The 16,026-nt window shown below is 39.0% G+C and overlaps 1 protein-coding gene across 17 annotated transcripts in view; it reads right to left on the reverse strand.

The window, feature by feature from the left end:
• Positions 1-16,026, reverse strand: part of ROBO1 (roundabout guidance receptor 1) — a 1,170,760-nt gene that overhangs the window by 416,435 nt on the left and 738,299 nt on the right. For 6 of the 17 annotated variants that reach the window (XM_047448665.1, XM_047448663.1, XM_017006983.3 and 3 more), the window contains exon 1: positions 4,734-5,786. The exons of 10 other annotated variants lie outside the window; for them this stretch is intronic. In XM_047448665.1, the coding sequence (XP_047304621.1) occupies positions 4,734-4,788 (55 nt within the window). In that variant the 5' untranslated portion in view covers positions 4,789-5,786. Of the gene's footprint in view, positions 1-4,168; positions 4,219-4,733; positions 5,787-16,026 lie in introns of those variants that run through there. One more of the 17 variants, XM_017006985.2, reaches the window with a different exon arrangement.

The following is a 16,026-nucleotide window of genomic DNA, read 5'->3' on the forward strand; positions in this document are numbered from 1 at the left end:
TGAACCACATTCCCTAACTTCTCTATGATATAGTTTCTACAACAGTAAAATCAGGGCACAGTAATATCTTAGAAATAACAGCATATATGTCATAGGATTTTTATGAGCATTAAATAAGATAATGGTGAGTGTTTAGTAAAGTGATAGTCCTAGCTTCACAGTAAAAGTAGCCATTTTCATGAAGTTTCTTATTGCACCTAGAGTTGGAACTCCATCTCATCTTTTAATTATTTCCTTCTTTCACTTTACTGGTCTCCTTTAAGCAAAAGCGTTACCATACAGAAGGTAACTACTTGGTGTATCAGTCTTCTATATACATTGAGGCAGTCAATATTCTAAAGTCTTATCATATGTAGCTTAAAAAAAAACTGTTCAATTGATTCATGAAAGAGTTAAACATGCTTCAAATTGCTTTTTTTGTTGTTTTAAAACTGCAAACTATCTAGTTCTTTATATAGTTGTTGAATTTAAGAGAATATACACTGACATCATATTTTCAGAAATCCACTTTTTGGACCGGGCACACTGGTTCATCCCTGTAATCCCAGCACTTTGGGAGGCCGAAGCAGGCAGATCACCTGAGGTCAGGAGTTTGAGACCAGCCTGGCCAACACAGTGAAAACCCATCTCTACTACTAAAAATACAAAAACTAGCCTGGCATGGTGGTGGGCATCTGCAATTTCAGCTACTCAGGAGGCTGAGGCAGGAGAATCACGTGAACCCAGGAGGCAGAGGTTGCAGTGAGCCAAGATCACACCACCACACTCCAGCCTGGGCGACAGGGTGAGACTCCATTTCAAAAAAAGAAAAAGAAATCCACTGTTTGGATTTGCTTCATGTGCTGTGTGTGGTCAGAGGGCACACTCCCACTTGGCTGCTCTGTCTACTTCCACTGTATCCCTGCCTATATCTTAAACTAGCTTAATTCTGCAGCTCAGTTTCTACTACACTTCTCCAGACTTCTGCTTTTTATTTCTTTATGTTTCTTTTTGGTGCCTTTCTTTCCTGTAGTCTATAGATTACCTTAGGCCTAATTTTAAATTGAATGATAACTTTGCTTTCCTTATATTTTCCTATATGAAATCGAGCTTGCAGGGCAGTTTATATTTTTGTTTTTAAAATTAAACATTTTTTTAAAGGTCAGAAATTAACCTAAGTATCACCTTAACATCTTTTATTAACACAGATGATAATAAATAAAGATTCAACCACTTATAGTCTTCACTGAGAAGCTGTTATCCTGTTTCCTTCCCACAGGATTCCAGTTGCCCATTATTTTAAATTAGAAATATCTAGTCAATGTAAAAACGAAAAATAAATGGTCATTGTTAGTCTGAAATTTAGCATTCTGTACCACTTTAAATTACATAAGAATATTTCATTTGTTGTAGCAAAGACTAAGAAAAAACTTCAGGTAAACTTTCTGTTCTAAGACCTTTAAATCACAAATGTCTTATGCATTATAATGCCCATTATCAAGAAATAAAGATATTTTAAAAGATATCACAGTATTCAAGTATGTACATTTAAAAGCCAGAAAGGTTATAAAGAAACTAGCCAGATCGTATCGGAACTACACAACAATCTTACCAGAAAGCAAGATGGAAGGAGGGAAAGAGGAAGAGAGACCAGAGACCAGACAATTGGCTCAAATAGTGAAACTTATTTAAAAAAGTTCCTCTTCCCAAGAGAAACCCTCCCCCACGCCCCCCCCCAAAAAAACAAGAAAAAGAAAGTACCAGTAAACTATCATTTATTTGAAATTCAAATCTCATCCTAAGTTTGAACTGAAATTCAATTAGTTTTTCACTTAAAAGCAGGTTTTAAGCAAGTGGATTTGAGCAAGTCTATGAAGGAAAAGATGTTTAGAATCAGATCCTGAGAGATCACATGGATTCGTTTCAAGGCTACCTCTCCTGCACCCTCCCACCCCGCAAACTCACCAGAAGTCTGTCTGTCCATAGAAAAGGCAGATAGACCAAGTAATTAAAGGAATCTACCTGAAAAATGAATTTCTGAAGGAATAACCACTTTTTATAAATCTCAGTTTCATTGAATGAAAGGTTATTTTTTGTAGCATCAAGTTAATAGATAAAAGGCTATGAGAAGTGAACACTCTTAAGCACAAGACTTAGTACTAAGCATGCCATCAACATACCAAAATGGAGTTTATAATCTGTTTGAAGAAAACTGTTGGACTTTGTTAAGTTGGCAGGCAGTTAAAAAAGGAAGAAAAGAAAAAAGAAAAAAAGAACTGACAACCAATAGATGCTTTTACAGGTTAAATCTTGTTGAAGGTAAGTTATCCCCTCAGTACACTTTGATTTATTTAAGCTCACCACATTTCTCTTAAATACACTCCATTAACAAGTGATAGACTGTGATCTTAGGCTTGGGGCAAGACATGAAACACAATCTTTCAAGAACTTCATTCATTCTCTGACCAGGTGTCTTCAACACACCCAGGTTTCTAGTCACTTGAGTTCTGTGAAGTATTATTCAAATCGATAGTGTTGCTTTATAACTGAACACTGTCATGAAATCACCCTACTAGCTCAATAGTTTGGCCTCCCAAGTTCAGATTCACAGCATGAGCGAAAGTGATCAGAGGAATAAAAAGCTTCAGGTTATGTATGAGGGAGCACTTTAGAAAGAAGCTTTTGTCCTGAAAAGTGGCAAAGCAGATAGGCACACCTATAGGAAAAACTTAGGTTTACAAAAATCATCAATGGCTTAAATGGAAAATTAAATTAGAAACAGAAAAACTAGAAATTTTAGATTTCTAAAAGCTAGAAATCAGTGTAGCTCTAACATTATAATTGTCTCATATCTATTCAAATTGCAATCCTCAGATATCTACTACTCAAATTATTAAATCTAATAGGACAGTACTTCCCAAATAATTCTCCAAGTGAAGACAGAACTTCCAAGTTGACACGACCAACTTTCAGTGATACCTTATTAATGTGACCCTATCTTTAATCTACAGCCATGATAAAATGTTCCAACATATACAAACTCAACTCAAACAGTGACTAATGACCATTAATCCCCCTATCTTCAGTAATCTGCCCCTCCAGTCATTTATCACAATGACACTTCACTTTACACACGTAAATAAACTTTAACCAGAAAGGTGAATCAACAGAAATCTCAAAGGTATCTGAAGCTGTAAATTAAACTAGGCAGAGACACAGCCAAGGGAGGCAAATAGAGAGATCAGATTTTAATGTTTTTGATTTGCATCCATAGCTAGGGGTGGGGGACTGGAGGGACTATTCAATTACTCCGATATGCAAACTAAGGAAAAATAAGGCATTACAGAAGGAGAAGCTGGAAGTGGGGAATGACAACCTCGAGGAGTTAGTCTACTCATCCCTCCACTGTGACGTACATGAGATATACCAGGTTGAAACTTCACTTTCTGTTTTCTTTAAAGAAGTAACAATTTAATAATTTTTAAAATTTACTTTAGTTGCAAATCTTCCTTGTAACTTTCAGCCAGCAGGCACAATTCACAGGCTAAAATTCTTTTAGGGGTTTATTCGCTATCATTTAGCTGACGTATGTGGTTTTTTTCCCCCCTTTTCTTACTCTGTTAACTGTCTTAAGTAAAATCCCTGGTCAAAACATAAATGATAACCATAGACCACAAAAGCTCAAACTAACCTTTAAAATCGTTTCATAATTGTGCAAACTGAGTGACTCTTACCGATAAGCCCTGATGCAATTTGAAGCTCAGTATGCGAATGTGACTATAAAAATTCCGAGGTGCAGTGTGTGTGTGTGTGTGTGTGTGTGTGTGTGTGTGTGTGTGTGTTTTAAAGCCTGAAATCGGATCCGTGATTGAAACCAGAATCTACCAAAAGGAAAGAAACAGAAGTTGAGTCGTGGCTCAGTTCACCCACAGTAAAAAAGTTTCCTAGGGAGTGTATGAAAACTATTTACAAGTGTAGATACAGTGTGTACTCTTATGTCAGAAGGGCCCCGTTTCAGCATCCTTCCAACACTTCATATGGAATTTCAGTATTATTTAATTAATCCTAAACATCCCAAATTCAGTTTTCTTTCGCCAATGAGAATCCCCAGGCAACTCCCCTTTCCGATGCTTGCAACCGCCTGTTTTCCTTCTAAACCCAGCGAGGCAGTGGCTATTTTATATCCTACCTTAAGAAGGAGTTATTTCGTGAAGCTTCTTCAGAATCAAATTTAATTACAGACTTTGGTTACATAAAACAACTACTAATAACCCCTTGTGCTCGGAAGAGGAGGGGCTAGAGAGGACTAGGCTCAGGAATCCTGGCAAGCCTGCGGGCCACAAGCTCCCAGGGCGCACATTTCCCTCCCCAGGGAAGCAGCCGGCGGCTGATACTCACTTCGGCTCATCCTGGGGGCCCTAGCTCACTGCCAGCCGCTGCCTCCTCCCACCCTAGTGCTTAGACGTGCGTTTGCCCAGAGTAATCTGGGCGTGCCCTGAACTTGGCAAAAGGCCGAGATCTGCAAAGAGTCTTGAGGAGGTTCAGGGGTGGAGGGGAGGTTTTGGGGAGTGGGGAAAAAGAGACAACCCCAAATGCGAACTAGGAACATTTTCGCCTAAAAGTCTAGCAGGAATCGAGCCCCTCCGGCCTTAGGAGGGAGGGGTAACCAAAATACACTTCTGGGTTTGATCGTGCAAAGTGGAGAGGGGGCGAACAGGGAGGATCAAGGGTGAAGAAAGAAGACGCGGGGTTACCTGAACAGAGACATATTAATCCAAACAGGTAAAAGTGAGCGGGCTCCGCAATCATTGTCCTCGGGTGGATCCTGTATACAGTCTCATGCCAAGAGGAGGGAGTGGAAATAGGGTCCCCAAATGTATGAAGCCACACACCACACACAAAGGCTTAATATAAGCAACGTGGGTCAATTAGCCAAGAGTTTTCAGGGCAATTACTCGTCGACCTTTCCGGACGCTTGTCAGTATCTCAGAGACTTTTGCAGAGGAAGAATTCCAAGGTTTGTCTTCTCCGGCCCCAGGATTTCCGAGGAGGCTCAGACACTTTCAAGAACCATCCAAAGCGAACAACAAAGAGCCGAGGCAGAAGCGCAGTAGTGCCGTTTCCTGCCTCCACGGTCTTGCGGAGCCTCCCGGCGTGCGCCCCCACAATGTGCGGCCGAGCGCCGCTGCGAGGGCAGGCGCGGCGGCGGCGGCAAAGTTGGGGTGTGAGAGCTGCTGAGGGAGGGCCAAAAAGTGCTTCTCCGTCTCCCGGCGAGCCCAGTCAGCAGCGGGCCACCCGCGGCGGCGGCGATAGCAGCCAAAGTAGAAGCAGCAGCTCCGGAGGAAGGGCTCGGGGTGCCGGGAGTGTGACTGGGTGACTCCGCGCGCAGAGAGCGAGCGAGGGGGCGGTGCGGCGACAGCGGCTGCCTGGGCGGGCCCTTGTTCCCATCACTTGGGGGATGCGGAGGGTACTGGAGACAGCAGCAGGACCGCGGACACTCGCACGTCTTCTGGGCGCCCCCAGCCCCGCGCGGCGCCCAACATCGCCCTCGGCCCCTCGCCCTCTGGGGCGCTCGCAGGCACCCCTAAACTACGCAGAAGCCCAAACTTCCTGGGGGCAGCTGCCTGCACCCCTGGCTCGTGGAAGCTGTAAAGAGGCAGCTCCCGGCTCTCCCCGGGGTGGCAGAGAAGGGCAGAGAGGATGCTGCTGCGGGTGGGAGAGACGGCCGCCGCGGCTCACCCCAGCTCCTCCCGGATCAGCGGCGTCTGAAGTTTCTGCTCTCACGCTGCCTCCTCTCCAGCTCAATTGCTTGTGGGTTTCCCCCACAGTCCCCGCGGCTCCCAGTTCCCTCCCTCTCCTCCCCGGCCCGATAATACTTAAAGGGGCCGCGTGGTCCTTTCCATGCTTCACTCTATTCTCCAGGCGCTGGTCAGGCAAGTTCTGCTCCTCAATATTTCCATCCACAAGCCAGGGGTGCCCAACTGCGCCCTCAGGTGAGAATCCAATTGCTCGGAATCGGAAATCCAGGCGAATGAGAAACTGTCTTGTTTCTCTCGCCACCCCTAGCTCCCCTGCACCTTTCTCCAAATGGAACCTCCCAGCCAAAGACTTCAAAAATCCTCCTGGTCCAACTTAACCTCTTCCTTGCCGCTTCCAGGAATTGGAATAAACTCTCAACTCCACTCTCACTTCTCCCCATTCCCATTTAAAAAAAAAAAATCAATTTTGAGCAACATGGCTTTAGGACAGGAGGTAAACAGAGAACTATCCAGAACATATCAGTAGATGGGCAGTCTCTTACAACCATCCTTTTCTTTTAAGTTGCAGTTGTTGAAGGTCTTGTAGAAAAGATATCCAAATCATAAGGCACAGGGTTGGGCCTTGGGATCATTTCCTCATGTTTCAGTTGAAACTCTCTCTTTCAACTTCATACTCCACACATTAGAAAGCTAACAATGGGGATGTAATTTTAAGAGAGAGAGAAACAAATGCAAAAAACAATCTTGACAAGCCCAGAGTTTGCAGTTAGGAGAAGCTAGTCAGGCATAGGTTTGACACTCAGTATACCCGCCCTGAAATCCCAACCTGCCAGTTATAGCTCTGTGACCAGGTCTGTTTTCTCTTCTCTGTTTCTGTTCTCGAGATATTTTATTGCATTAACAAAAAATACACAAAGCAAAACAAACCTGACACGTCTGAAAGGCATTCATTCATTGAGTCAGTCATTTTTCTTTCTTTCTTTTAAATAGGACACAGTGGCCAGGCGCTGTGGCTCACACCTGTAATCTCAGCACTTTGGGAGGCCCAAGCGGGCGGATCATTTAAGGTCTGGAGTTCGAGACCAGCCTGACCAATATGGTGAAACCCCGTCTCTACTAAAAATTCAAAAATTAGCCGGGCGTGGTGGCGTTCGCCTGTAGCCCCAGCTGCTCGGGAGGCTAAGACAGAAGAATTGCTTGAGCCCAGGAGGCGGAGGTTGCAGTGAGCCGAGATAACTTGCCACTGCACTCCAGCCTGGGCGACAGAGCGAGACTCCGTCTTAAATAAATAAATAAATAAATAAAAAGACACACTATGTGAAATACCTAACATGCCGAATGCTGAATAAATGGCAGAATTAATATCTACAGAGTTGTGTACCATAACTTCAAAAAAAATTATTTGGTGTCTAGCAGTACATGTAAGAAGCTGCTTTCGGTGGTTGCCTCTGGAGGACAGAACTGCGCAATGGATAGGGCAGAGAAGGAGGATTTGCTCTTTTCTACATAGTGTTGTGCTTTTCCATGTCTTTTCAGGTGAGCACATTCATTACCTAATGGAAGATAAAAATTTAAAAGCAAATTGTACATTGATTTTGGTTGCTGCTGGTGCAACCAACGACCTTAGAGCGACATTTTGTGGAAACTCTGGTTAACAGCACCTATCTTTGAAAGTGAAAGATAGTCTAATCCTGAGAAAACTGACTATAAATTCAGTAAACAGCCTGGAGATAAGAATTCAAAGACTCCAACCAAAATCTTTTCAGCAGTAAAAATATGAATGGGCAGTCAAAGCTGAAAAGCATACATCGATTTGGTCTTGCTAAAGGATATTTAGTGAAAAACATAGAATATATCTCTTTTTTCTTGGAATACAAAATACTTTTAAGAGAAGCTTACCTAGTAATAGAAAACAAACACTAAAGTGTAGTACTTGAGAGAAAGAGAGCAAGATAGAGAGAAAATTCAAATCCTCATATCATTTGAATGTACGTTAAATAAAGATGTCAAACTTTCACTTAGTAATGGGGGTATACTTTTAAATATAATGAAGAATATGTGTAAGGATCCCTATTGCATTGTTCCCCCAAATGGATCTCCTGGTCTCTGGAAGTTTGCTCGTATCTCTCAAGATTTCTTTTGCCATTTATCTCATTGAATGCAAACCATATTAATATCACCCTTGATGTCTCAACTTCAGTAAGCAACACCCATCCCCTCTCTTCCACTCCTAGAGATGATTTTTTTTTTTTTTTTTTTTTTTTTTAGAGACGGAGTCTGTCTTTGTCGCCCAGGCTGGAGTGCAGTGGCGCGATCTCGGCTCACTGCAAGCTCCGCCTCCCGGGTTCACGCCATTCTCCTGCCTCAGCCTCCCAAGTAGCTGGGACTACAGGCGCCCGCCACCACTCCCGGCTAATTTTTTGTATTTTTAGTAGAGACGGGGTTTCACCGTGTTAGCCAGGTTGGTCTCGATCTCCTGACCTAGTGATGCACCCGCCTTGGCCTCCCAAAGTGCTGGGATTACAGGCGTGAGCCCTGCCGCGCCCGGCCTAGAGATGATATTTCCGAGGACAGTCAGCAGTAAGTATCTTCAAGGAACTAACTTTTGGCCAGCCCCCTGATGAAGACTATCATCACCAACTCATATGTGTTAGTCCTTTCTTTTTCCTGTCTCATCCAAAGTGTATCTATTTTCTGTCTATTATATTGGTAAAGATGGCATGCAAAGACAAGAACGTGTATTCAGAAGGCATTACGGATCTATAAGAAGTGAAACTCAATGCATCTGAGAACTTTTGTATCTACTTCCTTTTCCTCACTCGTGCAAATAAACACTTAGTGAACATCATCTATGTGCAAGAAACAGTAAAGTGTGCTATAGGGACAAGATGCAAATATAATTCCTTTCTTTTAGGCTTTTAGAACTCCTACTATGGGAAGGTGCACAAAACAGAACAGGCTTCAGGGTGGAATCTGTCTGAAAAAAATAAAAACAAAGTGCCATTCAGGTTAAATGACATCCCAGTACATTCCTAGAGATGGCTGGATCATAGCAAGTTGTCACCTTTTCACTTTTGCTCCTGAACTTTAAATTACCCAGAAGAATGCCTGAAATGCTCATGGTGTCTGTGTGAGTGCCTGTGCAAGTGTGAGTGTACACATGTGGACAGGGAATGTACTCACATCAGATCTTCAGGGAACTCTGACATGTACAAGAGAATCTTGACTCATCAGTTTGGGTGGGAGACACAGCACCAGGAAGGAGAAAGTGTGGTAACTTGTACTCAGGAACCCTTTTCTGATCACTGTGATCTGAATGAATCGTGGGTTCTAAATTTCCACTTAGAGAATTCTCATCTCATTTAGAGTCTATGAAATTCAGGATCCCCAAAATTCAGGATCTCCCCTGAGAATTCTGAAGAAACCTGAAAATAATAGATTTCAGTAGTCCCGTGAAGAAGGGCTTTTTGACGGTCAAAATTCTAGAGCAGTAATGATCTCTTGCGTTGCTCCAATGATTATATCTTTCATGGAGGTAGCCACAGGAACTCTGGAAATAACAGAACACTCCAGGTCTCTCCAGGGATTGCAGATACCACTTACTCCGATGAGTAGGAGTGAAATAGAGTTCCTAAGGTAACTATAATACAAACCAGAACATCTCTCTGCCTTCTTAGCTAAAAGTCTTAGAATCAGACCGACCCTGGGATGCAAGCCATAAGTTCCAGCAAAACTGATGAGAAGCAGTGACACATGCAATGCACACCAAGGCTGTGCTGAACACTCCAAGATCCCATCCCTCAGAGTGCAACAGTTAGTTCAGTAATTCTTACATGAAATTGCTGAGTAATCTGCGTGATCCTTGGTATTTAAATTGATGAACTGAGAAGAAAGTTTGAATAATTGAATGTTTGAATATTTTCCTAAGTTTGGATATGTAAGAAAAGTCCGATCTCAGAAAGCAAGCTAAAGTGATCCGAATAATCCGAATAAAAGGAGAGTAAATTGAGATTTCTTGGAACATCTACTGTGTTTCAAGAAACGAGGCCTATTTAGTTTGAGCTTTCCTGACTAAGCTGCACATGGTAGCTTCAAATGTACATAAGGTGCCTTTTAACAGTATTACTTTTGTTTGTTTGCTTCTCTGCTACTTAAAACAGGTAATTATGTGTTCCAAAACAAAAATCACAGGGAGGAGAAATTCCCAGGGTTATTCGTCTTCATTTACTTAAAGACTTCAGGCACTGTAAATAGGGCCAATTTTTTTTTTTTTTTTGAGACAGAGTTTTTTTTTTTTTTTTTTTTTTTTTGAGACAGAGTCTCACTCTGTCACCACGCTTGAGTGCAGTGGTGCGATCTCGGCTCACTGCAACCTCCGCCTCCCATGTCCAAGTAATTCTCCTTGCCTCATTCTCCCAGGTAGCTGGGATTACAGGTGCTGGCCACCACACCCGGCTATTTTTTTTTTTTTTGTATTTTTAGTAGAGACGGGGTTTCACTATGTTGGTCAGGCTGGTCTCGAACTCCTGACCTCGTTATCTGCCCACCTCAGCCTCCCAAAGTGCTGGGATTACAGGCGTGAGCCACCGCGCCTGGCCAGGGCCAATATTTTTAACACAGCATTGTGAAGATACTGTAAAGGACCATCATCCCAATGGTCCCACCAGATGATGTACTCCAGCCTCGCTATTGCTCTGTAAGGCTTATTAAGAAATATAAATATGAGATACTCAACTTTGCTGTGGAATTACTGTGACTGTGTTTCTGTTTTAGCATCTCAGCATCTCACACACATTGTAGATGTTCTAACACTAGGTGCTATCCTGCTAAGTGCTTTTGATAGAGCCTGGGGCCTTACATATTAGCAACAATGGGTCGGGCTAGAATTTACTCCTTTAATGTGAAGAGGGGGTGAGCTTTTGAAGATAAAGGAGAGGATATAGAAAAGTGGCACTAATTAAGGTCACTCTTTGGGGTCCCTTACAAACATTATCTAATCTAATTCTCACCACAGTGAAGTGAGGTGATGTTATTATCCCACTTTAGAGATGATGTTGAGATTACATAATTAACTCAAAGTTGAGAGGCTCAGTAGCCAGGGAACTTATATTTGAGCTCAGTTTGTTTTGAACCAAAGCACTTGAAGAAACAAAGATGAGTTCCATGGTAGGATAGACTTGGGAGACTTCAGATTCAATACGTTTAAGGATTCCCCAAAGCTTTTAATATGCAGATGAGCATTGTGAGTCCCCCAGAGAGGATAGTTATGAGAAATCTTGTCTCTTTAATAAACATTGTTCAGTTTATAGCATTTGACTACTGTGGTTATATCTCTAATACCCAATACCTTACACCTGAAAATTAAGAGCTTCAGCTTTCCTGATTAAACTGCATATGACGGTTACTTGGCAGTAAACTTGTGTTAAAAGGAGCAATGCAGTATTCCTTACTGAGAAAGACCATATGTTTAAGTCACTGCACTTCTAAGCTTTTCTTCATAGAGCAGTCAGAGGGATCTTGTTAAATCTGAGACAGATTATGCCTCTCCTCTGCTCAAAACCCTCCAGTGGTTTTCCTGTCTTACTTTAAGTGAGATCCCATGTCTTTCCAGAAGTCTTCAAGGCCTAACATGAGCTAGTCCCTCATACTTTCCTGACATCATCTCCCCCTACATTTACCTGCTTTTTTCTCACTTTGTTCTATCACAATGGCTTCTATGCTGTTCCTAGAATGAATTAGACAGCCTCCTGCCTCAAGGAATTTACATGTGCTCTACGTGGAGTACTCACCTTCATAAATCTGTGAACTCGCACTCTCCCTTCTCTCAAGTTTTTGTTTCATCAAACCTCAGAGAGGCTTTATCTGTCCAGGTCCTTTAAACTTACATTCGCACGCAATACTTCCCATATCCTTTCCACTTGTTTATTTATTTTTTCCTCTAAAGCACTTATTCACATCTAAGATACTATATATATTTTTTATTTTGTTGCTGCAACCCTCCTTTTAGAATGAGGCCAGGGATTCTTGATTATTTTGTTTACTTTTTTAGTCCCAGCATCCAAAACAGTGCCTGGCACTGAGTAGGCACTCAGATGTTTGCTGAATGAATGAATGAGTTTTATCTCACTGTTAATATATATTTTTGAAAAATGCTTCTTTAGTTAACTATTTCTATAGTTCTAAAGTTTATTTTCTCTAATATATAGTTCAACCACTTATCTACTTCAATAGAGAACTAACTGAATATCACTTATGGAGCTCATGTTTCAGGGGACTTTAATAACTTCAAAATCAAAGTTCTGATTAAATAAGCACACCCTTATTTAGATCAGGTTATTTGGGTCCAAGAGATTGGGAGCACTGACTGAGGTTAAAGTATATAACATTCACAAGAAGCAAACCTCAAGATTAACTTTTCATAAATGAGAAAACTGAAGCTTAAAGAAACCAACTTTTCCCAGAAGACTCCTTTAGTTAGTGGTTGACTCGTGACTGGAACACAGTTCTCTAAATTGCTAGAAAACACTTCTTTCTACCAGAATAATCAGCAATTCTTGATCACGATTCTCTACCTTTAACATCCTTACATCATTAGATATGGCATAGTATAATAGATATTGTGTCATTATTGTATTACATGTTATGTTTTACATATAAGTTTTACAAATATGTTTTACATATTGCTGACTGATCAGGAACCGGGAATGCTGTTTTTGTTGTAGCTCCAGTTTCTAATAGAATAAAAATTATAACAAGCAGTATTTATATGACATTATGTGCTGTGCATACTATTCTAAGTATTTTATGTATTCTAACTGATTTAATCCTCAGGAAAAAATATTATTCGGTCAATTATTTTTATTATCTCATTTTATACATGAAGGGTAAGCATAAATTTGAACTGTGAGGTGCAAATAAAAGTTGTTGATGAAAGTAATATAATTTTTACAGATTCAGTTCTAGCTGAAGAAAGCTATCAGTGTGTATGTTTTGGTTTTTGTGTGTAAAGATCTAGTTTCATTTTGGGACTCAATTCAAGAAAATGACTCTGAAGTATATGCATTTTTAGTTCTATTTCTATATGAAGTAAGAAGTTCAAAGCTTTTTTATTTTATGTCCAAAATGTTCAAAGTGGTTTCATGTTTCTTTTAACTCTAATGAGATGACATGAAAAAATATATTGTACATGTTGGTTAAGACATTTGAAGGATATTGGGAAACATAAAGATATATATGTATAAATCTACATCTCACCATGGGATTTGCTATCTTTTGGTTTCTTACTTCCAGATACATCTGAAACCAAACATATACTATTCTAATCATGATTTAAAATTCTCCTAAATTGGGATCATAGTTAACAGCTGCACAGCTGAATGACACCCTCCATAGCCTTACAATTTGAACACAAACTATTTTGTAAGTAATTTACATTATGTTTAGTTCTGCAGATGTGTTTTACAAAACTGTTTAATGCTTTTGGTTTTTCATTGCTTTTTAAAAAAAAATCCTTCCAATAAATGTTTGTAGGATTGACATACATATGTTGGGATTTATGTCTTATTTAGTGCCTTCATTATGTTTAGTCCCACCTGTTGTTTGTTTATTCGGAATAATATTTTACCTAGGTTTTAAGTTATTTTAATCAGTTAGACAAATTAGCTAGACAAAAAGTATGAGCAAGAAGAAAGTCTGTTTGCAGATTGCCGTTATCTGGGCATTCATGCTTTTGGCATTTCATCTAACTATCCATTTCCTAGCGGAAAATGGGCAAGAAGTACTATGTTCATTTAAAAACCATCTTGAAATTGTACTCGAGTTTCCTATTTAGATGTTATTTTTGGAGTCAGTAAATAAAAGTAGTTCTAAATATTCAATGTTACACTACCTTTGGAAAAAGACTATCCAAGCTTATTAGTAATAATCACAATACTAAAGAATTCATTAAATTGTCATATCACATATTATTTGAAAGTTATTTATTTTATAACCTATTAATCTATTTCTCTCTTATATGGCTTATGGGAAAGCCTCACATTTGAGCAGCCAAATTGGGCCTTTGGGATTTAATAGCTTCTTGGTGTGACTGAGGACTATGATTCTAAATACGGAAGGGCTCAGTCTTGTGGGTAAATACTGAATCCAAATCCTGTAATTGTCACTGAGGAACAAACAGCTCTTGAAAACTGACATAGAATATAAACCTACTGTCTTAACAACAAAGATAATTATATATTTTCCCAAGAGTTTAATCACTCCTCTCTGACATCCTGGCCACATTCCAAAAGAAATCATCCAATTTCATTGCTGGAACTAAAAGCCTTTGTTGATTTGATCTAATCTCATCTTCTCAATTTCCTATCACTATATACTTCTTTAAAGCTGCTTTATTACACCTAGAAGGTAGAATTTCACTTGTAACACCATATCTTGTTGTATATATCTTATTTCAGTTATGTATCATATGTGTATCTGTGAAGCAAAACAGGTGTTTGCTGAAGCCAGTGAAACAATCTTATCACCAAAAACAGGATACCGAAATTATTCTATTTATACGAAGATTTCTAAATATTACTTTTTACCTACAATGTTTTAATTACAAAGTAAAATATTGTTTTACCAGTTTAGCATGTTAATTCTTTGCCAAAAATATTGTTAAGCATACATACTAAAAGTAGTATGGCTGATAGCCTTATATTCAGATGCTAATTGGTTCTAATAAGATTTTAATTTTTTTCACAATATAGAAGTAACATATTTCTAGAGCATTTGGAAACTGCCAGCAAAAGAAAGAAAAAATATTCCAATAATTCTCTCAAATATAATCACATATGCTATCAGCATTTTGTTGTATATTTTTTCTTTTTTCACTTTGCATATAAAGACTTTTTTTTTCTTACAACATGGAATAGCAGTTTAAAAACTGTTATGAAACCTACATTTTCACTCAAAGATCATCATAAGAATTTTTTTCCCAGACATAAAATATTCTTTAACACTATCATTAAAAGAGCAAAATAGAATCCCATTAGATGAATGTGTTAAAATACATGTAACTAGTCTCCAATTGTTAGACATTGAAGTTATTTCTAATCCTGTGAAGGTGTGCATAATCTGATTCTTTAAAGTTATATTAGAATGTTTTCTGGCTAAAGTCTTAGTAAATTTCATTTTAATTATAGATATCCTATTAAAGCAATACATACTTTCCACAATTTATTAAATTACTCAATTGTTTGAAGTTGCTTTGTAGAATGCTTATTCCAATGATCTTAGAACCAACATATGTAAGAGTAAGAAAGATCACAGATAACTATGAAAAACCGTGAGACAAATATTAACACCTAAATTTCCCCTTTGTATTTAATTGAATTATTATATTTTTGTTTAAGGGATGCCTTTTGTTTTTATTACAAGTGTTTAATAAATGAAAATGTTTGTTTTTCACAAATATGCCTGAATTTCACAGGTCTTGTATTTCACACCAGAAAGTAAACTCTTTTCTTTTAGTAAGGGCAATAAATTAAGACATAAGCGCTTTTCCTAAATAGTTACCTTTGGAAAAAAGTATAAACTGAAGCACAATTCATTATTTCACTAAATGTTCCTTTCAGCTGGGAGAGTATAGTGTTTAACATTTGGCTACCAAAATTATTTTCAGTGATTATGACATCACCATACATAAATATACTAGTCTAAATAGGGATCAACCTATCTGTGTAATGTGCATCATAGTTTATCCAAATCACATTACTTTGGCCTAACATCATCTATTTCTTGATTTTCCTTTAAATTTCTTAGGTTGCTTATCACACAACAGGAGTTTGAAAGACTTAGTTATCCCCTTTTTCCTAGTGAAAAATGAACCATAAAATTAAAATAATTTTTAAAAAGTCATCATCTCTTATGCTTTACTGATTGAAGAAGTAATATCATTATTTTTTGAGATTAGTAATTTTGTCGCTTTAAAAAATCAGATATTTATCTGGAAAACCCATCTGTCTTAAATAATGGTGAATATTTATCAGTTTATTTTAACTTATACTGGAATGTAGAGAACACTTGACAAAGTCTAATTAATAAACCACATTGTCCACTACACTACATTCTCTGATCTTGCTCCCCTTAATATTTTCCAATAATAGTAACTTAAAAGTTGGCAATGCATACAGAGATGTTTCTTTAGACGTGTATATTTCCTAGAATATCATTAAATGTGCTTTAAAGGTAGAAGCTATGTGATTAAAGCACGAGAACACAGTTTGAAGAATTTGCCATTTGGCCCATA

Source organism: Homo sapiens, chromosome 3 (assembly GCF_000001405.40).
Source record: "Homo sapiens chromosome 3, GRCh38.p14 Primary Assembly".
Taxonomy (NCBI): domain Eukaryota; kingdom Metazoa; phylum Chordata; class Mammalia; order Primates; family Hominidae; genus Homo; species Homo sapiens.